Source organism: Homo sapiens, chromosome 9 (assembly GCF_000001405.40).
Source record: "Homo sapiens chromosome 9, GRCh38.p14 Primary Assembly".
In the NCBI taxonomy this organism is placed as follows: domain Eukaryota; kingdom Metazoa; phylum Chordata; class Mammalia; order Primates; family Hominidae; genus Homo; species Homo sapiens.
In genome coordinates, this window is record NC_000009.12 from 37,876,500 (window position 1) to 37,904,364 (window position 27,865).

Here is a 27,865-nt window from a genome sequence, read left to right on the forward strand (position 1 = left end):
CTCCACAATTCAGAAACAGTGCCAGGAGGGATAAGAAAAATGGAGTGCCTGTACCTCTGAATCCTGACTCATGCACAAGTGTTTTATCTCAAATTGGCTAGACATTTCTCAGAGTAAAGGATCGCTGGCAGTGTTTGGAAACTAAAGGAGAATAAAGAACAGTCTCATCAATCATGCAGCTAATGTTGTGGACTGAATTCATATATTGAAGCCCTAACTTCCAATGTGATAGTATTTGGAGGTGAGGGCTTTGGGTGGTAATTAGGGTTAGATGAGGTCATGAGAGAGGTGCCCATGATGGGATTAGTAATCTTATAAAGATAACTAATTTATAATTACTTATAAAGGGCTGAGATTAGAACTTTCTCTCCATTATGTGAGGGTATAGCAAGAGGACAGCCCTCTGCAAACCAGGGAGAGGGCCCTCACCAGGAACCAAATCTGCTGGCTCCTTGATCTTGGACTTCCCAACCTCCAGAACCATGAGAAATAAATGTTGTTTAAGCCAGTGGTCCCCAACCTTTTTGGCACCAGGGACTGGTTTTATGGAAGACAATTTTTCCACAGATAGGTGGAGCGACACAATGGTTTGGGGATGAAACTGTTCCACCTCAGATCATCAGGCATTAGATTTTCATAAGGAGTGCACAATCTAGATCCCTTGCATTTGCAGTTCACAGTAGGGTTTGCATTCCAATGAGAATCTAATGCTGCCACTGATCTGACAGGAGGCAGAGCTCAGGTAGTAATGCTCACTTACCCACTGCTCACCTCCTTCTGTGCAGCCTGGCTCCAAACAGATGGGTACCTGTCCGTGGCCCAGGCGTTGGGGAACCCTGATTTAAGTCATCCAGTCTATGGTACTTTGTTATGGCAGCCCAAGCTAAAACAATTCAGTACTTTGAGATCAATGTAAAAATTACCTTTTCCTTAAATGACCTCCATGACCCATTAACAAATGAAGGCTGACCTTCATTCGGTCATTTCATAGGATATTCCAGAATGCTGTGATACTGAATATCCATGTGTCCCATCATTCTTGATTCTTGGTTGTTTTTTTTTTTTTTTTTTTTTTGAGACAAGGTCTTACTATATTGCCTAGGCTGGACTTGAACTCTCAAACTCCTGGACTCAATAGATCCTCCTGCCTTGGCCACCCAAAATGCTGAGATTGCAGGCGTGAGCCACTGTGCCCTGCCAGGACTGGCTTTTTAAAGAGGCAACAGGGCCAGGCATGGTGGCTCATGCCTGTAATCCCAGCACTTTGGGAGGCTGAGGTGGGTGGATCACTTGAGCTCAGAAGTTTGAGACCAGCCTAGGCAACATGGTGAAACCCTGTCTCTACAAAAAATACAAAATTTAGCTGGGAATGGTGGCACACACCTGTGGTCCCAGCTACTGGCAATGCTGAGATGGGAGGATCGCTTGAGCCTGGGAGGCTGAGGCTGCAGTGGGCCAAGATTGCGCCAATGCACTCCAGCCTAGGTGACAGAGTGAGAATCTGTGTCAATAAATAAATAAATAAATAAATAAAGCAAGAGGTATCAAATATTCACAACAGAGATTTCTGCCTCTCAGCATGGGTGCAACTTTCATCCCACTCAGGATAATAGTGAGAGCTGAGGTACTGAACATTGCTAAAAAACTATGTGAGGGTAAAACAAAAGAGGTCTATGAATTGCTTGTTAGATAGGCCAGGAAAAGTCCTGCAATCTAAGGACCAGATTACAGCAGGAAATGCAGTCAGAATCACCTGGAAGGAAAAGCTGCAATCTCAAATAAAATTACCAGTTGCATTTTTCTGTTGTTACAGGAAGCAGGTATTAAAACTGCTTTCACCAGAAAATGTGAGGAGACAGCTTTCATTGTGCCCCAGTGTGAAATAATTCCAACTGAATGGTTTGCAGAAGAATACCAACTGGTTCTTCACTCGAAAGAAATCCTGGTGTCAAGGAAGGATGTGAGTTTTGCCCACCTAAAGTGGAGATGTTTTTCAAGGATGATGCCAATCATGACCCACAGTGGTCTAGGCAACAGCTAATTGCAGCAAAATTTGGCTTTGCTGCACTTGGTATAAAACTGAAGTGGATATCATGAGTCATGCCACATAGGCTGTTTTTGAAATCCCGGAGAAATCCCGGTTGCTCCCAGAACTGTACACCGGTTGATATGAAGATTGAATTTGGTGTTCATGTGACCAGCAAAGAAATTCTCACTGATGTTATTGATAATGACTCCTAGAGACACTCACCATCGGGGGAGCAAAGCCAATAGAAAGACAGTCTTTTAATCATACTTTTAAAAATGTTATTTTAAAAAAATAGAGCCAGTCTTGCCATGTTGCCCAGACTCAAGCAATCCTCCTGCCTTAGCCTCCCAAAGTGCTGGGATTACAGGCGTGAGCCACCACTCCTGGCTGAAACAGTCTTATCAAGGCTTCAGTGTAACTCCTGAAGGGTTCCAAATGGTAAGGAAAAACTTTGCGTGGGTTGTAGAGAGTAGAGTTGCTTTTGAAATCAGAAAGTCAGTGCAGTGTTATAGTATTGATGGGTTCTACTTCTGATCTTAATCACCGTGAAAAAAATCAAGGCCTGTGGAAATTTTGGCATTCCATGTAGACTTTGAGTAACATCTGCACATAAAGGACCAGAAGAAATGCTGAGGATTAAAGCTGAGTATGAAGGGGTGGCAGTCGTACTGTATTTGTGGCAGTGGCAGGCAGAAGCAATGGTTTGGGATCAGTGATGTTTGGGAACACTACACATCCAGTTATCTATTGTCCTCCCCTCACACCAGACTGAGGAGTTCAGGATGTGTGGTCTTCTCTGCGACTACTCAGTGGTCTCGGCTATTCAACCATACTTTCTCCAGAAGGATCAGCTCAGTTTGCTACTCAGATATTTGGATTAAACAACCATTTATTATGGGGCAAACTGCAAGCAAGCACTTTGAACACATGGATTTTTTGGAAGAAAGGTGACAAGAAAATCAGAGAAAACATCATTGCATTTTTAGGGGGAAAACTACAAATTTCTAATTTAGCTGCAGAAAAAATAATTAGAGAACACAAATAAAATGTACTAGTGAATACATGCTTCTCTAGACCCAAACAAAAACTATTTGCAACGTAATTAAAACAGGTTAAGTGCTGTGAAAAATAGAAACATGGTGACATAGAAGAGCCTGACGGGGGAACCTAACCGAGTCCTGAGAGTGTAAGCCAGCTTCCCCAAGGAAGTGACACTTCAACCGAGATCTGAAGGACAGCAGTCTATAAATGAAGTAGAGAAAGGCAGTGCTGAGGGCAGAGGGCACCTGCATGGGCAGAGGCTGGGAGCAAGATGAGTACAGCGTGCCCCAAGTAATCAGGAAGTGCCAGTGGCTGGAGTGCAGAGACAGCAGCGCAGTTTTAGCTAGAGATGAGAGTAAGGGAGGCAAGGGCTGGATCATCCTGTCTCCTGTAGGCCACAGCAAGATGTTTGGTCTTTATGGCAGAGGAAAAGCATTTATTGAAGTGACATTTTAAAAAATTACTGATGGCCGGGCACGGCGGCTCACGCCTGTAATCCCAGCACTTTGGGAGGCTGAGGCAGGTGGATCACTTAAGGTCAGGAGTTTGAGACCAGCCTGGCGCAAAACTGTCTCTACTGAAAAAATACGAAATTTAGCCGGGTGTGATGGCGGATGCCTGCAATCCCAGCTACTCCGGAGGCTGAGGCAGGAGAGTCGCCTGAACACAGGAGGCAGAGGGTGCAGTGAGCCAAGATTTCACCACTGCACTCCAGCCTGGCGACAGAGACCACGTCTCAAAAAAAAAAAAAAAAATTATTGACAATATGAAGAATAGATTGAAGGGAGATAGGAACTGAGATAAATCCTATTTTACCTTCGATTTCTACTTTAAAATCACATATACTCATTTGGACAAAAAATTTCCTAGTTGGGAACGTCAGATAAATAGATTTAAGGCAGCCGGCGCGGTGGCTCACGCCTATAATCCCAGCACTTTGGGAGGCCGAGGTGGGCAGATCACCTGAGGTTAGGAGTTTGAGACCAGCCTGACCAACATGGAGAAACCCCATCTCTACTAAAAATACAAAATTAGCCAGGCGTGGTGGCGCATGCCTGTAATCCCAGCTACTTGGGAGGCGGAGGCAGGAGAATCACTTGAACCCAGAGGTCGGAGGTTGCGGTGAGCCGAGATCACGCCATTGCATTCCAGCCTGGTCACAAGAGCGAAACCCCGTCTCTAAATAAAAAAGTAAATAAATAAATAAAAAGATTTAAGATGGGAACCAGTCTCTTGGGGATTGGGAGTGCTCTGTAGCTATGCAGAGATCCCCCAGGGCTGTTCCTGGTCACACCTACTCCTCACTCTGGAGGTCTAGAACTCTACAGTGGCTGCTATGGGTGGGTTAAAAGATTTCATCAGATGATGATTAAACACCCTTTTTATCAAATCTAAATGTACAAGTTCAGGATATTACACTTATTCTTTATGATGGATTTCAATCCAAAACAGGACTTTTAGAAGCAACTGCTCCTTTACCTTGCTGTCCTTATCAGGCAACCTCAATGATCTCTAAAGCCAGGAAACAACCTAAAACTTAACATGCAAATTCACAATGTGGCTAAAACTTCACACTCTCCTAACCAATGAGCTACAACAGAAAGGAGCAGCTCTGAAGGCAAAAGTAGATATAAAAAAAAAAAAAAAATGAAAAGCACAAACATCCAGACCATGTAACTTGGGAGTAAACATTGCATGAGGCTACTCTATTACAACAGAAAGTACTGATAAGCTAAACCAAGAAAGTTTAAACTCAGTAGAGAAGTGTATTAAATATGAGGAAGACCTTTAAGAAATAAAATGTGGCCAGGCACAGTAGCTCACGCCTGTAATCCCAGACTTTTGGGAGGCCAAGGTGGGCAGATTGCTCGAGCCCAGGAGTTCAAGACCAGCCTGGGCAACATGATGAAAATCTCTACAAAAATTAGCTGGGCTTGGTGGCACGTACCTGTAGTCCCAGCTACTCAGGAGGCTGAGGCGGAAGGATCGCTTGAGCCCAGGAAGTCAAGGCTATAGTGAGCCATGATCATGCCACTACACTCCAGCCCAGGCAATAGAAACCCTGTCAAACAAACAAACAAAAAGCTTTGCAGTTAAACTACCTGGAAAATAAAACTTATATGAAACCCCTCTTGACGAAATAAGATGGATAGACAAAGGAATGTTTTACCTGCAACATCCCCAGGTTAAGTTGCTAAAAGTCAAGGTAGTGTGCTAAATGTTTTCTGAATAAAAAGACTAACAGATCAATCTATCACTACCACAAAAAAGGAACGTGCCAGTAACAAGCAACTACTCAAGCATAAGAGAAGACCAAAAAGAGTGGGCTTAAAAAACAAACTTTATTCCAAATTATCAAAAAAAAAGTGTTAACTCTGAAACATTTAACAGATTTCATTTAAACTCATAGGGTCATAAAACTCAAACTATCAAACAAAAATAGCATTGTGCACTTAACCACTTTCAATAATGAACCTTCAAGAGGAAACATTTAGAGACTCCCACACAATTTGGGAGCCAATAGGCAACACATATTTAATATTAAGCAAAGACAGCATTAAAAACTAAAAATCCTCAAATTTCAAGAGAATACCTGTTCAAGTCTTTGATATACATTTGCACATGAGAAAAGAAATATTTTAATTTAAAAGAGACCAAGTCTGAGTGCTTATCCTTTCTTCAAATGTAATCTCCTGTCCACCCTTCATTTTATGACTGCATACGCCTCACTCTACTTCATCTACACTGAACCAGTGTTCGTTCAACATGATTGGCTTCACTCGAAGCCCTCTAGATCCCATTTCATATATCCCATCGACCACCATTATTCCCTTACATGTTTGCACAGCCTTATACTGAGCATTACATTGTAACCAAGCTTGGGAATTTCAGGTATCCAAAGGTAATTATATACACAAACGCTTCTGTTTTATTGCACAGTTCACAATATAGCTGGTGATTACACAACCAACCATGTTAAGATGAATATCGACTATTTAGACAAATACATCGATTTTGTCCCCAACCACAAATGAAACAAGAAAGACACACATATTCGCCACCATATCAAGGTTGTGTTTACTCTGTGGTGCAGTCCTGAGGGCTCATACCACTCTCAGTGTGTTCAATACGGAATCCATAACATTTCTGGTGGCATCACACATGAAGTATAGGACACAAGACCATAAGTGTCCTGCGCTCATGAGCCATTTGTGCCACAGACGTAACAGAAAGGCCACTTTTAAAGCTTTTCAGATATTCAATCACATTTGCCTTTTCAATTTTTTTTTTTGAGACAGAGTTTCACTCTGTTGCCCAGGCTGGAGTGCAGTGGCGCAATCTCGGCTCACTGCAACCTCCGCCTCCCAGGTTCAAGCGATTCTCCTGCCTCAGCCTCCTGGGTAGCCGGGATCACAGGCATGTGCCACCATACCCGGCTAGTTTTTTGTATTTTTAGTAGAGATGGGGTTTCGCCATGTTGGCCAGGCTGGTCTCAAACTTCTGACCTCAAGTGATCCACCCGCCTTGGCCTCCCAAAGTGCTGGGATTACAGGCGTGAGCCACCGCACCCGGCCTGCCTTTTCAAAGTTGTTACCACACTAGTTCACACTGAAGGTAAAAGCAATAGTTAGAATCTCTTATTAACAACACATTTTGACTTCAAGTTCAGACAAAGCTGTTGGTTACAAGTTCTGCTAAATTTTTTGTCAAATTTAAGAAGTCTATAGGACAACACAAAACCATCCCTGGTAATGTATTTGCAGTTTGGTCTTCAAAAGCTGTAAAGAGTGACAAAGAAATAAAAAAAAATACTGAGTTAAAACCATTAAAAATATTTATTAATAATTGTTTTTAAATGCCACTTATTTGAGACAGCAGAAACCAAAGCATTTTCTTTAGAATTCTCACTTAGCTTGTATTTCACAAAAGTGCTTTAGAACTCAGATTTCTACCACCTGTGTGGAGTGTAAAGACAAAAGGAAGCCCAACAAAACCAAAGGCCCAATGGTGTCTATTCCCAGGGCCAAGGTATAACCCCAGGCTAACCCACCTGCCCTGGGCTGAGTAGCTGCACACACCTGTGAGTGCTCAAAGTCACACGCATGATTGAGGGGGTCAGGCACCAAGGTGCCTTTATTTATTCATTTCTCAAACTCAATTCCCTTCAAATCCTGACTCGATTTAATAGGCCAATGGATGCTACTCATATTTATTTGGTGCCAAATTATTATTTTTTTAAATCCTTACATCTGCACCTTGAAAGCAAACTGCAATATCCAGCACAACATTGTCAGAGCTGCTGTATGGCTATTTAGCTTTATTACTGCCTGGCTAATGCTTAATACGCTTCATCCTTTACAGCTGGAAGAAGGATGGTCACTGTATTTAACCAGCCATAGTGCATTTAGAGGTCAACAGCTTTTATGGACTATTTGTCCAAGAACTTTCAGTAAACTACCAAGTTGAGGCCTTTATTTTGGTCAGTATGTATAAATATTCATATGCAATTATCCAGAAAGAAGAAAAACTGGTTAACAAGAAACCTACTGTCATGTCAGATGCTGGAAATCAATCTTTAGCTACATAATATTTACAGAAAGGGTTTTAAGATGCATAATCCACTTTTTCAGTCTGTCTCTTGTATTTCATTAGTCAATTGGAAGTGGCACAAGTTTCATCTGGAAAAAATATTTTCACCTTTTCTAATTCTTTTGACAAATAAGTTTTTGTCTGTTAAGGGATGAGAATGCTATTTGGCTATTACCTACTTTTAGAATTCAAACTAACCCTTCAAATGTCTTTATTTAGATCATATGCTCTCAAACTATCTTATTGTTTTACTGACACAATGGTAAAACTGGGTTCCCAAAATGTCAAAACCCTAATGGAGTCTCTATTTCCAAGAGTAAAATAAAAGACAGCTAACACTGTGAGGTGAAAACTATCCTGAGCCTTTTTTCCCCTCTCTTTAACATTTAGAAACTAGGGGGAAAAAAGTGGGATTGCATTAATAGACTTCCAAAACAAAATGTTATGGAAGTGTTTATTTTTTAAAAGGAGAGTTTTAAGAGAACAGGATGCTTGAATATGACCAACTCCCACTCAAGGGGAAAAATAACCACAGGCCTTTGCTGAGATGGCACCAGTAATTCAAAGAAACCAAGCTAACCAGAATTTGATCCACACACAAAATGAAAACTTGTTAACAGGATGGAACAACTATAACAAGATTCAAGTCCCTTCATCTTTTGGCAATGAAATAAGTGAAATTATAACACAAGGACATTTTGGAAGGGTTGAAGATCACAGTCAGAATCAAACAGAAAACTTTCAAACCTAGAAAGCAAAACAGGAACTTTCATAGCTCCTTGATCTACCATATCTAAATAGAAATAGTATAATGCCTATCCAATAGGTGCTTAGTTTCAAAACTAATACAAGCAATTTATCATGAAAAGCCTATACCTAATAAGCTGTTTTTCTTTTCTGTTCTGCCCCTTTGTCATATGCTTGAGCTTAATGAAGACTGTCCTCTGCAGCTGCTCCTGAGGGCAGAGAAGCAAGCAATGGAGTAACAAAGGAAGCCTGAGGAGCCCCTGGCCCCTGAGGACCTTCTCCTCTGGCCGGTCACAGCCACTTATGTTTCAATGCAGGCGATTTCAAGATTGGTTTAAGAAAAAGAATCCTATCTTGGGGATTAGGTTCCCTGTCAAAGGCCATCAGATGGACAGCTATTTACCAGGCAATTAGCCTAAAGCTCTTAGGTAATGATAAAAAAAAAAAAAAAAAAAAAAAAAACCTTGTATTTTCCTATTGGAACCTTTTATCCTATTTTGTTGATGCTTAAGGAAAAAAGCTTTGCCCATAACTCACTGTGGCCTGGAGTTACGACACCAACTTATATTTGGCCAATTAAGAAAGAGATTCTCCTGCCTCAGCCTCCCGAGTAGCTAGGACTACAGGCGCCCGCCACCACGCCTGGCTAATTTTTTGTATTTTTAGTAGAGATGGGGTTTCACTGTGAGTTTCACTCTTTTTGGCAACAATAATACGGCGCCCAACGTGGGCCTCAGAGAAGACTCGGAACCCCAAAGGAGTTGCCCGAAACCGGAGAGAGAAGCGGAGATCCTGATGTTTCTCAGTGCCATTGTGATGATGAAGAACCGCAGATCCATCACTGTGGAGCAACATATAGGCAACATTTTCATGTTTAGTAAAGTGGCCAACGCAATTCTTTTCTTCCGCTTGGATATTCGCATGGGCCTACTTTACATCACACTCTGCATAGTGTTCCTGATGACGTGCAAACCCCCCCCTCCCCATATATGGGCCCTGAGTATATCAAGTACTTCAATGATAAAACCATTGATGAGGAACTAGAACGGGACAACAGGGTCACTTGGATTGTGGAGTTCTTTGCCAATTGGTCTAATGACTGCCAATCATTTGCCCCTATCTATGCTGACCTCTCCCTTAAGTACAACTGTACAGGGCTAAATTTTGGGACGGTGGATGCTGGACGCTATACTGATGTTAGTACGCGGTACAAAGTGAGCACATCACCCCTCACCAATCAACTCCCTACCCTGATCCTGTTCCAAGGTGGCAAGAAGGTAATGCGGCAGCCACAGACTGACAAGAAAGGACGGGCTGTCTCATGGACCTTCTCTGAGGAGAATGTGATCCGAGAATTTAACTTAAATGAGCTATACCAGCGGGCCAAGAAGCTATCAAAGGCTGGAGACAATATCCCTGAGGAGCAGCCTGTGGCTTCAACCCCCACCACAGTGTCAGATGGGGAAAGCAAGAAGGATAAATAAGATCCTCACTTTGGCAGTGCTTCCTCTCCTGTCAATTCCAGGCTCTTTCCATAACCACAAGCCTGAGACTACAGCCTTTTATTTATGTTTTCCCTTTGGCTGTGACTGGGTGGGGCAGTGCGCAGCTTCTGATTTTAAAGAGGCATCTAGGGAATTGTCAGGCACCCTACAGGAAGGCCTGCCATGCTGTGGCCAACTGTTGCACTGGAGCAAGAAAGAGATCTCACAGGATGGAGGGGGAAATGGTTTCCCTCCAAGCTTGGGTCAGTGTGTTAACTGCTTATCAGCTATTCAGACATCTCCATGGTTTCTCCATGAAACTCTGTCGTTTCATTATTCCTTCTTAGTCAACCTGCACAGCCTGGTTAGACCTAGATTTAACCCTAAGGTAAGATGCTGGGGTATAGAACGCTAAGAATTTTCCCCCAAGGACTCTTGCTTCCTTAAGCCCTTCTGGCTTGGTTTATGGTCTTCATTAAAAGTATAAGCCTGGCTGGGCGCGGTGGCTCACACCTGTAATCCCAGCACTTTGGGAGGCCGAGGCGGGTGGATCACGAGGTCAGGAGATCGAGACCATCCTGGCTAACACGATGAAACCCCATCTCTACTAAAAATACAAAAAAAAAAAAAAATTAGCTGGGCGTAGCCGGGCACAGTGGCTCACGCCTATAATCCCAGCACTTTGGGAGGCCGAGGCGGGTGGATCACGAGGTCAGGGGTTCGAGACCAGCCTGACCAACATGGTGAAACCCCGTCTCTACTAAAAATACAAAACAATTAGCTGGGCGTGGTGGCGGGCGCCTGTAATCCCAGCTACTTAGGAGGCTAAGGCAGGAGAATTGCTTGAACCCTGGAGGCGGAGGTTGCAGTGAGCCAAGATCGTGCCACTGCACTCCAGCCTGGGCAACAGAGCAAGACTCTGCCTCAAAAAAAAAAAAAAAAGTATAAGCCTAACTTTGTCACTAGTCCTAAGGAGAAACTTTTAACCACAAAGTTTTTATCATTGAAGACAATATTGAACAACCCCCTATTTTGTGAGGATTGAGAAGGGGTGAATAGAGGCTTGAGACTTTCCTTTGTGTGGTAGGACTTGGAGGAGAAATCCCCTGGACTTTCACTAACCCTCTGACCTACTCCCCACACCCAGTTGATGGCTTTCCATAATAAGATTGGGATTTCCTTTAAAAAAAAAAAAAAAAGAGGCCAAACTGCATTCTTCTTAGAAGGTCTATTCAGTTGATAAATGGCACTTAACTGATGGTTTTTTCATATAACCTTTAACAAGAACTCATAAGTTGCATTGATTATGCCCCAAGAGATGAGGGACCGATGGTAATTCAGATGGGCACCTCTGAAAAGATTTATCAGTTTTCTGTCCCGTTCCAGCCAGATTTTTTGGAAAACCTTGGGGAAAGACTGAAATTCCCCACCAATCTGAGACTGTATGCGAGTTTTTACAACATTAATTGGAAAAAACAAGAATCCCAACATGGCACCCAATAGACCTCCACAGATAAAATCATTGACCAGATGAGCACTGTGAGTCGTTGCGGTAGGCAGATGCTCCTTAATGGGACCTCGAAGGCCGAAAAACAAGACATTGCTGAGTCCATTCCGGAAAAGAATGGGCACCAAGCCTCGATAATACTCTCCAATTCCATGACATTTCAGTGCCTTGAAAGCCTGGTAAGTGTTGGTAAATTTGTCATGATGCTTGTGGTCTTGAAGCAATGTCTGAACTCTTTCCAGTGGAGTGAAAATTGCTTCTGTTGTCCCTGCAAGCACTGCCGCCACGCCACTGGTTGCAAACTCTGGAGCACTGACATGCTTGTGGAGAAGGCAGGATAAATCCTCATACAGACCAAACATAAGTGCAAGCGTAGTTGTCTTCTGCATCAATGGGGGAAGGATTCCACGATACAAATTTCGAAATCCATCCCTTCTCAACTGAAGTATTGCATCCCGGGTTTTGATGCCATACAGCTGTTGTCGAAAGAGGACCTTCTGAATGGGAAATGTGATTGCGACATTGTTGAAGGCTGCACAGCAGCCACACAAGTAATGCTTCATCTCACCAACATTTGTAATATGAGGTGATATATCTTGTTTTGAAGATGTTAGTATTGGTGGCCTCTTTTCATGAGCTTCTGAATCCATCATGCTGCTTAAGATCTTTCTTTTTCATGAAGGACTTTTTTTAACCTACAAATAATAAATGACAACGGGTAAACCCGTTTTATAGAGAGCTAAACACATGGGCTTTCTCCCTAATCCATCCTCTAATATCTGGACACCACACTTTCCTTTTCAGACTAGATCAGTGATTCTTAAAGCATTTTCAGAAGACCCCTGGAAGTCCCTGAGATCCTTTTGGGAGTCCAGGAGATTTTCCTTTTTCAAACTACATATCTATGTGAGGCTTGATTTTTTGCATATACTTTAATCAAAATGACTTATCACAACAGACTGAATGCAGCAAACAGGAAACTCCATCTTAAGTCAGACATGCAAAAGGCTTAGAAAACTGTAAAATATTTTCTAATGACTGTAAAATCATTAGAAAAAAATGGGAGGCATGAATGTTATTTTTCATGAAAATGTGTTAACATGTAATGTGTTTATCATTACCTTAAAATTCATATTTTAATTTTAAATTCCTAAAGACCCTGAATATCAGTCCACATAAACAAAGGGTGTTTGGGGCCCACAATCATTTTTAAGACTGTAAAGGAGTCCTAACACCAAAAACTTTCAGAGCCACTAGACTAGTTCGTAATTACTGACTACACTATATACGGTATCTATCTATTGTCCTGCTGAAATAGGCCCACATTCCTCCCCTGAGAAATAAAACAGCAAGACATGCACTCATTCTATTCATATTTATACTTCTTTGGTACCTACTATGAACTAGGTCCTCTGCTAAGTTGCTAGAGATTCAAAGATAAGGAATTCACAAACTAATAGAATGTGCCAAGGTGAACAATTACACCAATGTGACAGCTTCTATGATAACCAACCATTGTGGGAACACAGGTAAGGGACACTGAACATGCACCTTGGAAGGTGGAGGTGTGGGATGATGGGGGCAAGGAAGGCCTACAGGTATGTACCATGCACTCTATTTTCATGTATGAATTCTCAAAACAACTCCACAATTATTTTTCCAGTTTTACAAATGAATAAAACCAGTATTCTCTTTTGTTCTGTTCAGGGCACAGCTAGTAACTGGTGGGGTCAGCATTCTGAAATGAAGTCTGAGTGATTCCAGGGCTCATATCCCTGCTACCATATCACAGATGGCAATGACTTTGTGAGGCTGCCCTGGGATAAGAGGTGGCTATACTAGATACTGCTGAAAATGATTGGAACTAAGCCAAAGTTCCACCCCTATAATACACCTCCTTCTGTAAAATGCATGATCTTTCCTTGCCAGTCATCTAAATCTGATTCCTTCTCCCTGAAAAAATCCAGATCCAAATAGCTGGGTCATACAGAATAATTCCCACCTTCCAGTTCTGGTCTTGGAAATCACCTTTATTTGGGGGATAACATGATAACTGTATATTGTATCTTAGATATAATAGAAATATATAGAAACTTCTATATATTAGAAATATATATAAATATATACACACATATGTGTATGTGTGTGTGTATATGAGGCTAAATATTTTTTAATTGGATTTTAATTCCTTAACAGTAAGATACTGGCCAGGCATGGTGGCTTATGCCTGTAATCCCAGCACTTTGGGAGGCTGGGGCAGGAGGATTGCTTGAATCACGAGTTTGAGACCAGTGTGGGCAACATAGAGAGATCCCATGCCTATGAAAAAGTTAAAAATTAGCTGGGCATGGTAGCACATGCCTGTAGCCCCAGCTATGTGGGATGCTGAGGTGGGAGGATCAATTGAGCCAGGGAGGTCAAGGCTGCAGTGAGCCATGATTGCACCACTGCACTCCAGCCTGGGCAACAGAGCAAGACTCTTGTTTCTAAAAATAATAACAATAATTTAAAAATTAAAAATAGTAGTCAGGCGCAGTGGCTCACACTTGTCATCCCAGCACTTTGGAAGACCAAGGTGGGAGGATTGCATGAGGCCACAAATTTGTGCCCAGCCTGGGCAACATAGTGAGACTCTGCCTCTACAAAAATCAAAATAAATTTTTGGGGCATGATGGCGTACACCAGCTACTGGGAAGGTGGAGGGAGAAGGACCTCTTGAGCCCAGGAAGTTCAGGCTGCAGTGAGCTGTGTTCATGTCACTGCGTTCCAGCCTGGGTGACAGAGTAATACCCTGCTTTAAAAAAAAAAAAGAACATACGATCCAACAATCCTACTTCTGGGGATATAACCAAAACAATTGAAAGCGCAGTCTCAAAGACCTTGTACACCCACGTTCACAGAAGTACTATTCACAACAGCCAAGAGGTGGAAACAATCCAAACCATATTTAAGAGTTTCAATGGGAAATAATAAAAACAACAAAAAACCGTCTAGGTCTTTCACTTGGAACAAAAAATTGCCAAGTTCCTTAAGTTTTTTTTCCCTCCTCATACTACACACATGCTGTGGTGAACTGCTCAACACTCAGGACAAAAGATGTTAAAGAGAACCATGATCACTCTCAAAGTAGAAAGCGTAGAGCTGAGGCACAGAAAGAATCAGATAGCATTAGTTCCTAAGGGGCGTATATCTGCCAGAGCCACCAATGTGTAATGAATATGGAACACACACACAACCATAATTTTCCTTCTAAGACTACAGATTAAGAAAATAATTCACACAACATGTACACAAAGATTCAGCCATCGCCCGGCCAGCCGCCCCGTCCAGGAGGGAGGTGGGGGGCAGCCCCCACCCGGCCAGCCGCCCCGTCCGGGAGGTGGGAGGCGCCTCTGCCCGGCAGCCCCTTCTGGGAAGTGAGGAGCCCCTCTGCCCGGCCGCCACCCTGTCTGGGAGGTGTACCCAACAGCTCATTGAGAACGGGCCATGATGACGATGGCGGTTTTGTCGAATAGAAAAGGGGGAAATGTGGGGAAAAGACAGAGAAATCAGATTGTTGCTGTGTCTGTGTAGAAAGAAGTAGACATAGGAGACTCCATTTTGTTCTGTACTAAGAAAAATTCTTCTGCCTTGGGATGCTGTTGATCTATGACCTTACCCCCAACCCTGTGCTCTCTGAAACATGTGCTGTGTCCACTCAGGGTTAAATGGATTAAGGGCGGTGCAAGATGTGCTTTGTTAAACAGATGCTTGAAGGCAGCATGCTCGTTAAGAGTCATCACCACTCCCTAATCGCAAGTTCCCAGCGACACAAACACTGCGGAAGGCCGCAGGGTCCTCTGCCTAGGAAAACCAGAGACCTTTGTTCACTTGTTTGTCTGCTGACCTTCCCTCCACTATTGTCCTATGACCCTGCCAAATCCCCCTCTGCGAGAAACACCCAAGAATGATAAAAAAAAAAAAAAAAATTTTATATATATATATATACACACAACTACTTTAAAAAAAAAAAAAAAAAGATTCAGCCATAAGATAGTCACAGCCAGGCTTTTAACAGCAAATAATGAATACAAATGCTCAATAGTAAAAGACACAATGTGTAAGTGAAGATGTATCCACAGGATGAGACATAAAGTTATTAAAAATAAAGAAGTGTTTAAGGTTCAGTGTAGGATTAATTTTGAATTTTTAATGGTATTTAGACGCAAAGTAAAAATTAAATAGCATACGTATGTCAGGTACCTATGTCAGGGGAGATAAGACAGGCAAATAATTAGACAACAGGGAGATAAATGAAATCATGGAAGGTATCAAGGCCCCATACAGCAGGAGGTCATTAATCAGCTGTCTGGAGAGAATGACAGGCAGGACATGACCCGTGGGCTCGGCTCTGAAAGCTGAATAACTGTCACTATGCACATAAGGGTGAAGCACATTTTAGCCAATGGAGCAGCAGAGGCTAAGGCACAGGTGTTGGGCTAAAGGAGCAGCGGCATCGCGTTCTTGGAGGTTACTTGTGTATGCCCTGCAGGGGCACAACGTAGGTAGAGAAGGATGGGTAGCTGATGAGGACAGAGAAGCCGGTTAGGACCCTCAGGAAAATCCCAAGACCCTCTGAACAATACTACATTATATATATACAATATATACAATACTACATTATATATATATATTTTTTTCTTTTTCTTTTTTTTTGAGACAGTGTCTCACTGTTGCCCAGGCTGGAATGCAGTAGTGCAATCTTGGCTCACCTGCAGCCTCAACCTCCTGGGGTCAAGCAATTCTCCCACCTCAGCCCTCTGAGTACCTGGGACTACAGGCACATGCCACCACACCTGGTTAATTTTTTTTTTTTTCTTTTAGATGGAGTCTCACTCTGTTGCCCAGGCTGCAGTGTAGTAGCACGATCTCAGCTCACTGCAACCTCTGCCTCCTGGGTTCAAGCGATTTTACTGCCTCAGCCTCCCAAGTAGCTGGGATTACAAGTGCGCACCACCATGCCCAGCTAGTTTTTGTATTTTTAGTAAAGACAGATTTTTGCTGTGTTGGTCAGGCTGGTCTTGAACTCCTGACCTCAGGTGATCCGCCCGCCTTGGCCTCCCAAAGTGCTAGGATTACAGGTGTGGGCCACAGCGCCTGGCCCAATTTTTGTATTTTTTTTGTAGAGATGAGGTTTCACCATGTTGCCCAGGCTGGTCTTGAGCTTCTGGGCTGAAGTGATCCAACTGCCTCAGCCTCTCAAGGTGCTGGGATTACAGGTGTAAGCCACTGTGCCCAGCCAAATTTTTTTGCTTTCTCTTGTGAAGCAAATGAAAGAAACTATTTTACTTAAGTATGTTACACTAAGATCTGTATATCCTTTTCTAAGAATATAGACTATGATTAAGAAAATGTAGACATCTGTACAATCTATGGCCTAACGCCTCTTTGGAGTTTGAGCTGCTTTGCTGTCATGTTCCTATTAGAAAAGATGAACTCTTTTTACCTAAGAGCAAGTTAGGACTAATGTCACTGCAGGCCCAAAGTCTACCCTAAGGAAGGTAATACAAGGAGTCAGGAAACTTCTCCCCACTCAAAGAAAGTCACTTGGTTGTATCCAGAGAGCTGGGCAGTGTCAGAGCTCAAACCTTTCACTGTCCCTCCCTGATCAGGAGAGCCATACCACCTCTAAGGTCCAAAATATTTTGTTCAGTTGAAGAAACCTGCTCTGAAAATTTGTTTCACTGCCTTTTAAACAGAGAGAAATTACTTCCGATTTTGGCAGTTACTAATGCGGTTAGATTATGAAGTCACCTGTATGCTCCACTGAGAGATGCCAGATTCCTTGGAGTTGGGCTGTTTGTAGATCCAGTAACAACAAAAAATCATTTAAATAAAAATTCACAGAAGAAACGTGTATAACCTACATGAATAGAGAAAAAAAGCTGGAAACCAATTAAACACACAGAGAGCCTCTCCTCCAGGCTCACTGGCCTACTCGGGTCTCTTCTCACCTGAACTAATGCAAGGGACCCTGCAGCAATCAGCCTGACTCTGTTCACGCTCACCCACCCCTATTCCCTGCCCTCTTCAACCTACTCGTCATTTTAAAAAGAAACACACACACACACTACTAAGTTTAAAAAGTGAGGTATGTAACAATGCATTTTGGAATCTAATATTAGCACAGAGATACCTGAGCGTTTAGAATGGTTGCACAGTACTCTATGAAATGACTGCACTGTATACAATTTATTCTACCTCCTATTTATGGTTGCTGTTTTTTTTTATGGTTTTGTATTATTAAGGTTTGGAAAACTCTGTGGACAATTCAGCTTGCCAAGTGTGTGAGTGGGTATACAAAAGATATACATTTTTAATTCCAAGACCTTCCAGAGAGTGTCTAGAGGAAAGGTCTAATTAAACCTGCCCCCACTCACCTTTTTTTTTAACTTTTTTTTTTTTTTTGAGGCAGAGTCTTGCTTTGTTGCCCAGGCTGGAATGCAGTGGTGCGATCTCGGCTCACTGCAACCTCCACCTCCTGGGTTCAACTGATTCTCCTGCCTCAGCCTCCCGAGTAGCTGGGATTACAGGTGCCCGCCACCATGCCTGGCTAATTTTTCTATTTTTGTAGAGATGGGTTATCAACTTGTTGGCCAGGCTGGTCTTGAACTCCTGGGCTCAAGTGATCTGTCCGCCTTGGCCTCCCAAAGTGCAGGGATTACAGGTATGAGCCACTGGCCTGGCCTTTTACAAAAAATTTTAAGTTCTGAGGTACGTGTGCAGGTTTGTTATGTAAACTTGTGCCATGGGGTTTGTTGTACAGATTATTTCGCCACCCAGGTATTAAGCCTAGTACCCATTAGTTATCTTTCCTGATCCTCTCCCTCCTCCCACCCTCCACCCTCCTATGGGCCCCAGTGTGTGTTGTTCCTCTCTATGTGTCCATGAGTTCACATCATTTAGCTTCCACTTGTAAGTGAGAACATGTGGTATTTGGTTTTCTGTTCCTGAGTTAGTATGCTAAGAATAATGGCTTCCAGCTCCATCCATGTTCCAGCAAAGGGCACAATCTTGCTCTTTTTATGCCTGCATAGTATTCCATGGTGTATGTGTACCACGTCTTCTTTATCCCGTGTACTACTGATGGGCATTTAGGTTGATTCCATGTCTTTGCTACTGTGAATAGTGCTGCAGTGAACATGGCTGTGCATGTGTCCTTATAGTAGAACTATTCCTTTGGGTATTGTTTTTTTCTATTTCGCCTTTAAACAATGCAGCAATGGGCAACCTTGTACTTATACCATGTGAATTGTTTTGCCATTAAAAACTTTTTTTTTTTTGAGACAAGGTCTCATTCTGTTGCCCAGGCTACGATGCAGTGGCACAGTCATGGTTTACTGTAACCTCGAACTCCTAGGTTCAAATGACCCTCCTGCCTCAGCCTCCTGAGTAGCTGGAACTACAGGTATCCACCACCACATTCGGCTTTTTTTTTTTTTTTGTAGAGAAGGGGTCTTGTTATGTTAGCCAGGCTGGTCTCCAACCCCTAGCCTCAAGCGATCCTAATGCCTCAGCTTCCCAAAGTGCTGGGATTGTAAGGAGTGAGCCACCTTGCCTGCCATTTAAAATTTTTGAATATGATTCCCCATCTTTCATTTCTATTGACCACTTCTTTACTATACATTTTCATATATGTTGCCCATTTTTCTGCTGGCACTTTGGTTGTCTTACTGATTTGTAAAGTATCTTTTAGATATGAAGCAAATGAATCTATTTTAGTCAAATTGTGGCAAATAATTTTTCCATGTCTATATCATTTTTATACACTGAAGTTCTTAATTTGAATATTAAATATATCTCAACTTCTAGATTTCATGTTCTCCTAAGGTCTTCATTACTCCAAAATTATTAACAAGTAATCCAGGCTTCCTTCCACAACTTTTTTTTTTTTTTTGAGAGAGTCTCACTCTATCATCTAGGATAGAGCGCAGAGGCATGATCTCGGCTCACTGCAACCTCTGCCTTCCTGGTTCAAGTGATTCTCCTGCCTCAGCCTCCCAAGTAGCTGGGATGATAGGTGTGTGCTGCCATGCCCTGCTAATTTTTATATTTTTAGTAAAGACAAGGTTTTGCCACATTGGCCAGGCTGGTCTCAAACTCCTGGCCTCAAGTGACCTGCCTGCCTCGGCTTCCCAAAGTGCTCGGATTACAGGCCCTTCCATAATTTTTATGGTGAATTATCACGTATACTGTAATATCTCTGGAATATCAGTTTAAGAAGTGAGGCAAAGATAACAGACTGCCAACATCACTGATGACTGAACTTTGTTTCCATCAGTTGCAGCATAATCTAAATACCCACGGGCGTTTGCGTTTATTTCTGCACTCCATTCTTTTCCACAAAGAGCCTGGTATTTCTTCTCTAGTACTAACCTGTTTTAACCTATTGCAGCATCAAAATATAGTTCATCATCTAGTAGGGCTTCCCCCTCCAAAGATAATTATTACAGTTTTTCTAGCCCTCTCACTTTTCTCAGGTAAACTTCGGTGTACTCTTCCCCAAAATCCTGTTGGTGTTTTATGGTGGAAGATGTATCCACAGAATGAGGCATATATATTTAAAATAGGCTGGGTGGCCGGGCACAGTGGCTCACGCCGGTAGTCCCAGTATTTTGGGAGGCCGAGGTGGGTGGATCACTTGAAGTCAGGAGTTCGAGACCAGTCTGGCCAACATGGCGAAACTCCATCTCCACTAAAAATACAAAAATTAGCCAGGCGTGGTGGTGTGCACCTGTTGTCCCACCTACTCTGAAGGCTGAGGCAGGAGAATCACTTGAACCCAGGAGGCGGAGGTTGCAGTGAGCCGAGATTGCACCACTGCACTCCAGCCTGGGTGACAAGTGCGAAGCTCTGTCTCAATAAATAAATATTTAAGGTTCAGAACGGTATTAACTTTGAATTTTTAGTGGTATTTAGATGGAAAGAGTGAAAATTAAAGAGCATATGTATGTCCGGTACCTATGTCAGGGGAGATAAGACGTGCAAATTAATTAGACTATAGGGAGATAAGTGCAATCATAGAAGGTATCAAGGCCCCGTACAGCAGGAGGTCATTAACTAGCTGTCCAGAGGGAATGACAGACAGGACATGACAAGTCTATCTTAATTTTAAATACTGATCATCTTTTCAAAATTGAATCTTAACTTTACAAGAACTTGGTATCTTCCTATTTACTTATAACTTTTTGCAAACCTTAAAGCATTAAAATTTTCTTCACATAGATATTATTTCTTACATCTATGTATTTCACCTTTTTGGTTACTATTATATTTTAAATTTTTAAATTTTTTTTCTTTTTGAGATGGGGTTTCACTATGTTGCCCAGCCTGGTCTTCAACTTCTGGGCTCAAGTGATCCTCCTGCCTCAGCCTCCCAAAGTGCTGAGATTACAGACATGAGCCACTTTGCCCTGCCTGATTATTATTATTCATAGGCTATTTACTTCCATCAGTTTTCTAACTAGTTTTCGTTTGCATAAGAAAACAACTAACAATTCTTGGGTATTAAGGTTAGAACCAGCTAACTTACTGAATTCTTACTATGTCTCAGTTTTTTGGTGAACGTTTTAGTTTCCACCATGTAAAAGATCACTTGCAAAAAATTTTGCCTTCTCTTTTATAATATGTGTAATTCTTTCTTCTTATTGAACTGATAAATACTTCCTGAACAAAATTAAATTATAATAAAGGATTATAATAAATTATAATTATAATCCCTATATATAATTACATATATATATAATTATAGTTCTTATATTTTTCTTGACACCTGTGGGAACTCTCCTAGGGATTATCATTAAGTTGGCTTTCGGTTTTAAACAGGAAGTTCTTGTCATCTGAGTGTTCATAATCCAGGTCCTAGCAGTTTTCAAGTTTACACAGGGAAACAAATCATCAAGACACAGAAACGTTCACTGATCAGCTGAGTCATATATGATTTATTCCACTCAAGTATCCCTCCTCCCTATTTATCATCTACCCCTGCCCATCTGTAGGACTCTACTGTAAACATGAAGTGCAGGAGGCCTTCCTTCTGCTATCACATAATTTCATCTCACAAATCATGCCAAAAACCCCAAGACTTCAATCTATATTCATTCTAAGAATTAGTGGAGCTGCAATTATAACTTAAGCTCCTGCCCCCAACTATTAACTATGAAATTGTGCTTCCCATTAAAAATGGATTCCAGGCCAGGAGCAGTAGTTTACACCTGTAATCCCAGCACTCTGGGAGGCCGAAGCAGGCAGATCACTTGAGGTCAGAAGTTCAAGACCAACCTGGCCAACATGGCAAAACCCTATCTGTACTAAAAATACAAAAATTAGCCGGGGGTGGCCGGGTGCGGTGGCTCACGCCTGTAATCCCAGCACTTTGGGAGGCTGAGACGGGTGGATCACCTGAGGTCAGGAGTTCAAGACCAGCCTGACCAACATGGAGAAATCCTGTCTCTACTAAAAATACAAAATTAGCCAGGCGTGGTGGCGCATGCCTGTAATCCTAGCTATTCGGGAGGCTGAGGCAGGAGAATTGCTTGAACCTCGGAGGCGGAGGTTGCAGTGAGTTGAGATTATGCCATTGCACTCCAGCCTGGGCAACAAGAGTGAAACTCCATCTCAAAAAAAAAAAAAATTAGCCGGGCATGGTGGCATGCACCTGTCATCTCAGCTACTTGGGAGGCTGAGGCAGGAGAATTGCCGGAACCCAGGAGGCAAGGTTGCAGTGAGCCAAGATTGTACCACTGCACTGCAGCCTGGGCGACACAGCAAGACTCTGTCTCAAAAATAAATAAATAAATAAAATAAAAATGAATTTCATTTTTCTAGTCAACTGATAAGTCAAACTGAGAGAATTTTCAAACATGGGAAGGAAATATACATTTATTATTGTTGTACTGAAGTTCAATCACCTCCACACCTTCCCACCGCCAATAACTCAAGAGTCTATCTTAAACTTTGGTCAAATGCTTTTAGAAAGCTCCTGAGATGATCATACAAACACTGGAGACAGCCAGTGTAATATTTAAGAGTACAGCCTCTGGAACCTACTAATTACCTACTTAAATCCTAGCTCCACCACACATGTACTGTGTGACCTTTGACAAGTCACTCTATAGCTTATTCTCTTTATAAAACGTGGCTATTAACTACCTCATAGACTAGCTCAATTAACTGAGCTAACAACATGTAAAGTGCCCAGGACAGCAGTCTAGTGTACAGTAGGAACTCAACAAGGGCAAGCTATTTTATTATTCTTTTCTATCTTTTCTGACTTATTCATTTGGTGTATTATGTTAGCATATTTCTTGGTGATTACTCACTCTTGCAATATGTGGATAAATGCTACTTGGCCGTGGTGAAATATTCTTTCATCATACTGCTAACTTCCATTTACTAATATTTTAAAATTTCATATTACTGTTCATAACAGATCATGTTGTCATTTTTTTTTTCTTCTTTTACAAGACAGGGTCTCACTCTGTCACCCAGGCTGGAGTGCAGTGGTACAATCATGGCTCACTGCAGCCTCAAGCTCCTAGACTTAAGCAATTCTCCCAGCTGGGACCACACACGTGCGCCACCATGCCTGGCTAATTTTTCACTTTTTTGTAGAGACAGGGTCACTCTGTGTTGCCCAGGCTGGTCTGAAGCTCCTTGGCTCAAGCAATCCTCCTGCCTCAGCCTCCCAAAGTGTTGGGATTATGGGCATAAGCCTTGGCACTCAGATAAGTTTTCAGTTTTAATACTATCTTCACATCAAGTGCCAGTGTCAATGTTCCACTGGCTTTGTAAAAAGAATATGTGATTCCCCGCCCCCCCACCCCCATCATACTGTAGAACAATTTAAATCTTATCAAAATGATGTGTTCCTTGAAGTTTAATTGCATTCACCTGTGACATCTGAGCCTGGAGTTTGGCAGGATGATAGCTTTGTGATAATGTTCCCAATTTCTTCCATTGTTATTGTTCTGTTAGGTTCTCTCTTCTTGAGTCAATTTTGATAACTGGATTTCCTTAAAAAAAAAAAAATTCTGGTTTAATTTATATAGCCTTTTTTTTTTTTTTTTTTTTTTTTTTTTTTGTAGAGACAGGGTCTCACTATGTTGTCAACGGTGGTCTCAAACTCCTGGGCTCAAGTGTTCCTCCCACCCTGGCCTCCCAAAGTGTTGGGATGACAGGCATGAGCCACTGCTCCCAGCCTATTTTTATTTTTAAAGACAGGATCTTGGCCAGGTGTGGTGGCTCACGCCTGTAATCCCATCACTTTGGGAGGCCAAGGCAGGCGAATCATGAATGAGGTCAGGAAATCGAGACCATCCTGGCTAACACGGTGAAACCCCATCTCTACGAAAAATCCAAAATTTAGCCAGGCATCGTGGCACGCACCTGTAGTCCCAGCTACCTGGGAGGCTGAGGCAGGAGAATTGCTTGAACCCGGGAGGCAGAGGTTGCAGTAAACCAAGATCACAGCACTGCACTCCAGCCTGGGCGACACAGCAAGACTCTATCCAGAAAAAAAAAAAAAAATGACAGGGTCTTGTTCTGTCACCCAGACTGGAGTACGGTGGTACGATCATGGCTCACTGCAGCCTGGACCCCTGGGGCCTCAGTCTCCTGAGTAGCTAGGACCACAGGCGCATGCCACCATGCTTGGCTAACTTTTAAAAAACATTTTTTTAGCAGAGAGGGGGCCTTGCTATGTTGCCCAGGCTGGTCTTGAACTCCTGCCTTGGCCTCCCAAAGTGCTGGGATTTACAAGCCACTGCACCCATCCAACACTTGCTGTTTTAAAAAATTACTTCTAACCTGTGTACTTATGTTCCCTTTTTTCTTGAGCAGGGTTATCAGTTTATCTAATTTATAACCTTACCACTCCTAGCAAAGCAGCAGCTTGTGAATTACCAATCTTACTATTTCTCAGTTTTGTTTTGTTTTTTTGAGACAGAGTTTTGCTCTGTCACCTGGGCTGAATGCAGTGGCTACCTCGCAGTTCACTGCACTTACTGCAGCCTTGACCTCCTGGGCTCAAGCAATCCTTCCACCTCAGCCATCTGAGTACCTGGGACCACAGGCCCGCACCACCAAGCCCAGCTAATTTTTGTATGTTTTGTAGAGACAGGGTTTCTCTACGTTGCCCAGGCTGGTCTCAAACTCCTTGGGCTCACATCATCTGCCAGCCTTGGCCTCCCAAAGGGGACTACAGGCATCAGCCACCATGCTCACCTAGTTTAAAAAAAAAATTTTTTTTTTGAGACAGAGTCTCACTCTGTTGCCCAGGCTGGAGTGCAGTGGCGCAATCTTGGCTCACCGCAACCTCCACCTCCTGGGTTCAAGCGATTCTCCTGCCTCAGCCTCCCAAGTAGCTGGGATTACAGGCATGCCACAATACCCGGCTAATTTCTGTATTTTTAGTGGAGACGGGGTTTCACTATGTTAGCCAGGCTGGTCTCAAACTCCTGAGCTCAAGTGATCCAGCCTGCCTTGGCCTCCCAAAGTGCTGGGATTACAGGTGTGAGCCACTGTGCCTGGCTTATTTTCTTGTAATTCTTAAGTGAGACAACTATTTTTATCCTTTATTTCATAACTTGACTGTTTAAGGCTGTGTACTTTTCTTTGAGCAAAACTCTTATTACTATTTAAGAGAGTTGGCATTTTGTCTTAACTATGCTTGCTAGTAAGTGTCCCAAAATCTTCAGTGAGTCTAGTGTTGTTATTCACAGTAAAAATAAGATTAAAGGGAAAAAAAAGGTTCCAGAATATCATCTGTTCCCTCTCTCCTCTCCCTTTCTTAATGTACAGAGTTTTGGGGCTTAATATGATTAACTTCAAGATATGTTCTAGACACTGAAGTCTGTTAGGGTATTGAGTTTGATAATTATTAGTTCTACTACATCCTTACTTTTTACTGATTCAGCTGATAGGTATGAGTTAAAAACTCTTATTAGTACACTTACAAGCTAAGATTAATCAATATTTGAAGTCCTAAAACTTAGTCTAGAAATGCTTGATACCTATGTAATGCTTTGCACTTCTTCAGTTTCAGAATTAAACAATGTTAAATCAACAAGAATATTTAGATTAATGTACATGATTACATGATATTGTGACAATTTATGAATGTCAAAACCATTTTATTTTTACATACGGAGCACACAAAATATTTTAAATTCTAAAGTCACCACCTACAAGCTGTTTACACATGCTCCTTGACAGTACAAGCCAAGTTATTTGTGTACTTGAACAACAATAAAAATTTTGTCCATGTTCACTTTTACTGGAATGTTACTTGTATTACTTTCTGAAATTTTGCAAATAAAGGTTAGTTTATTTATGACTCTGTGTGAGAATGGGGACTGTTATTAAACAAGCAGAAAACTACAGCTAACAGAAGTTAACCATTTATTGACCACCATATCCAACTATTTTAAGAACATTACTGTACATTGAGATTCTCAGATTTAAAAAATAGGCCTAGATGGGGGAAAAAATGTTATGAAACCCTCCTGGACTTTACAGATTTAAAGCTTTTTCTCTAGTTTAATCCTACACACCAGGATGGTGTGAATATGTTCTTAATTTAGCAATAGAAGGATAATGTGCACAGCATTATTTGGTAGTACAGTTTAGACTTTTGCATGTTTACCTATACTGTGAACATGGTTAAATTTCTTTGCTAAACTGATCTTTATATTTTTATTCATTAATGTGGATAATTCTTTGCAATTTATTGCAAAATTTATTTACCATAACTTTACGCTTGTTTGCTACGTAAAACTATCTCATCATAAGGGAGCAGTTAATGAACTTGATTTTCAAGCAACTACAAGTGTCAAGCTTCTGTGACTAAGAAAACAGTGTAAAGTCTAAAACCTTATTATAATTTACAGCCTACATGGATCAGCATGATACAGATATGATCCTAGCACAAAGGTCTCTGCAAAAACTGGGGAGAGGGTGACTCCAATTCTCAAAGGATGTGAATTTCCACTAGTCAGCAGGTCTGAGTCAGCATTCAGAACAAGATCAGCCTGGGTCTAGTCCTAGTTACGACACTAGCTTGCCAATATAAAGACAAAGCAATATCTGATTTTAAAATCCACTGATCTGAGTTTGCTTTCATTTACCAAACGAGAGATCAGATGAGTCAACTCCTAGCTTGTTTTCCCCTGAGATGCGCTAAGGGTGATTCCAGTTCCAAAGCGGTAACCTGTGCTCTAAACCACTATGGGACCTCAAGAGTCCTAGCACCTTTTGATCCTATGGAATCCTTTCAAAGCACGGGCAGAGGCGGCTCAAAATGGCAAGGTCACTATACATTTCAAGGGCTTCTGTTTCAGAGATTACAAGTAGAGAAAAACAGAAGGTGGGAATTAAGATCAGCTAGGTAGAGCTGTGAGATGCAAAACAAAGGTTTTGCAGGAAGTTGAGGTGCTGACATACTCCATCTAGCTAAACTGAACACCAAATAATGGATGGAGACTAACACCACCAACACCATCGTCCCCGAAAATCCTTGTACAAGTGAGCTTCCTACAACGCGATGCAATATGCTGTCGCAGAACAAGCACTGCCAGGCTATGTAGCTGAACTTACCGTTCTCCAGGCGTCCATTTCCCCAACCTGTGAAAGGCGGGGAGGGGGTTGGACAAGATCACTAAGTCCTCTTCCGTTTCTGACACTTCACAGTCAGGGGTCCCGAGGTGAGGCCGAAATCCCAGTCTCCCGGGACGCAGAGGCCCTTGCGCGGTGCCATCCCCGCTGTCCCCCGGGCGCAGGCAGCTCCCGGCTCCTCCCCGCCCCTGCGGTTCCTGTGCACCAGGGAGGTGCCTCCCCAGCCCAGGGCGCGCCCGAATGAAGGGACAGCGCCTTCGCGGGAAAGGTCGCCCAGCAGCCGGACAAACACCCGCGGCAGGCGGGGGAGCCCGGAGCCGAGGAGGCTCAGAACTGATTCCGCCCGCGCCGCCTGGGTGGGGCCCGCAGGGACCGGGCCAGGGCAGCCGGAGCGCGCAGAAGACAGGGATGGGCCCCCAGGGCGGCAGCCTGCCCCAGCGGGCCCTTCAGCGCGTTTCCCCTCCCTCCAACCTCATGCGAAGAAAGCCCGGTGCTTCCCCACGCTCGTCCCACACTCACCCATCAGCGCCGGCGTCCCGCAGGACGGCTAGCGAGCCGGGGCCCGCGCAGGCGCAGACTGTGACCGACCCCGAGGTTGGGGCGCAGCGCGACGCGCTGGGCGCTGTTGGGGTCACGTGAGGGAGACACCGCCCCGCCCCGCCTCCCCTCCCTCGGCCCGCGGCCCGCCAGATGTCGCCAGCCTACTTCTCCTGGCCGCAGGCCGCCGCGGCGGGGCAGGTAGAGGGCCACGCCAGCACACCTGTCAGGATGCGGGCTCCGCTAGCCACCATGCTTCACCCTTGATGCCGTACGGTG

General features: G+C 43.0%; 1 protein-coding gene and 2 pseudogenes across 3 annotated transcripts, besides 1 other annotated feature; 2 read left to right on the top strand and 1 right to left on the bottom strand.

The window, feature by feature from the left end:
* Positions 1-1,075: 1,075 nt before the first annotated feature.
* Positions 1,076-27,628, bottom strand: SLC25A51 (solute carrier family 25 member 51). 3 transcript variants are annotated; one of them, NR_024872.3, is made up of 5 exons: positions 27,569-27,628; positions 27,032-27,058; positions 23,330-23,451; positions 5,019-5,132; positions 1,076-4,249 (listed from the first exon to the last, which is right to left on the bottom strand). NR_024872.3 is itself a non-coding variant. In NM_033412.4 (3 exons), exon 3 carries the CDS (start codon positions 12,049-12,051, stop codon positions 11,158-11,160), a length of 894 nt encoding a protein of 297 aa, NP_219480.1. In that variant the 5' UTR covers positions 12,052-12,093; positions 23,330-23,451; positions 27,569-27,628; the 3' UTR covers positions 11,105-11,157. The 3 variants fall into 3 exon arrangements, 1 of the variants encoding a protein (NP_219480.1); NR_024873.3 differs by lacking the exon at positions 27,032-27,058; NM_033412.4 differs by lacking the exons at positions 1,076-4,249; positions 5,019-5,132; positions 27,032-27,058 and adding an exon at positions 11,105-12,093.
* Positions 1,563-27,865, top strand: part of PAICSP1 (phosphoribosylaminoimidazole carboxylase, phosphoribosylaminoimidazole succinocarboxamide synthetase pseudogene 1) — a 34,374-nt pseudogene continuing 8,071 nt past the window's right edge.
* On the top strand, positions 9,184-11,074 carry TMX2P1 (thioredoxin related transmembrane protein 2 pseudogene 1; annotated as a pseudogene).
* Positions 27,069-27,828: a silencer, noted in NCBI's record as "silent region_19914". NCBI's record gives its function as "represses an Ori minimal core promoter by ATAC-STARR-seq in GM12878 lymphoblastoid cells {active_cell/tissue: GM12878}" and the evidence as "EXISTENCE:reporter gene assay evidence [ECO:0000049][PMID:35858748]".

Excerpts from the sequence above, each read along its gene's own strand:
- SLC25A51 (NM_033412.4), bottom strand. The coding sequence starts at position 12,051 with ATGATGGATTCAGAAGCTCATGAAAAGAGGCCACCAATACTAACATCT.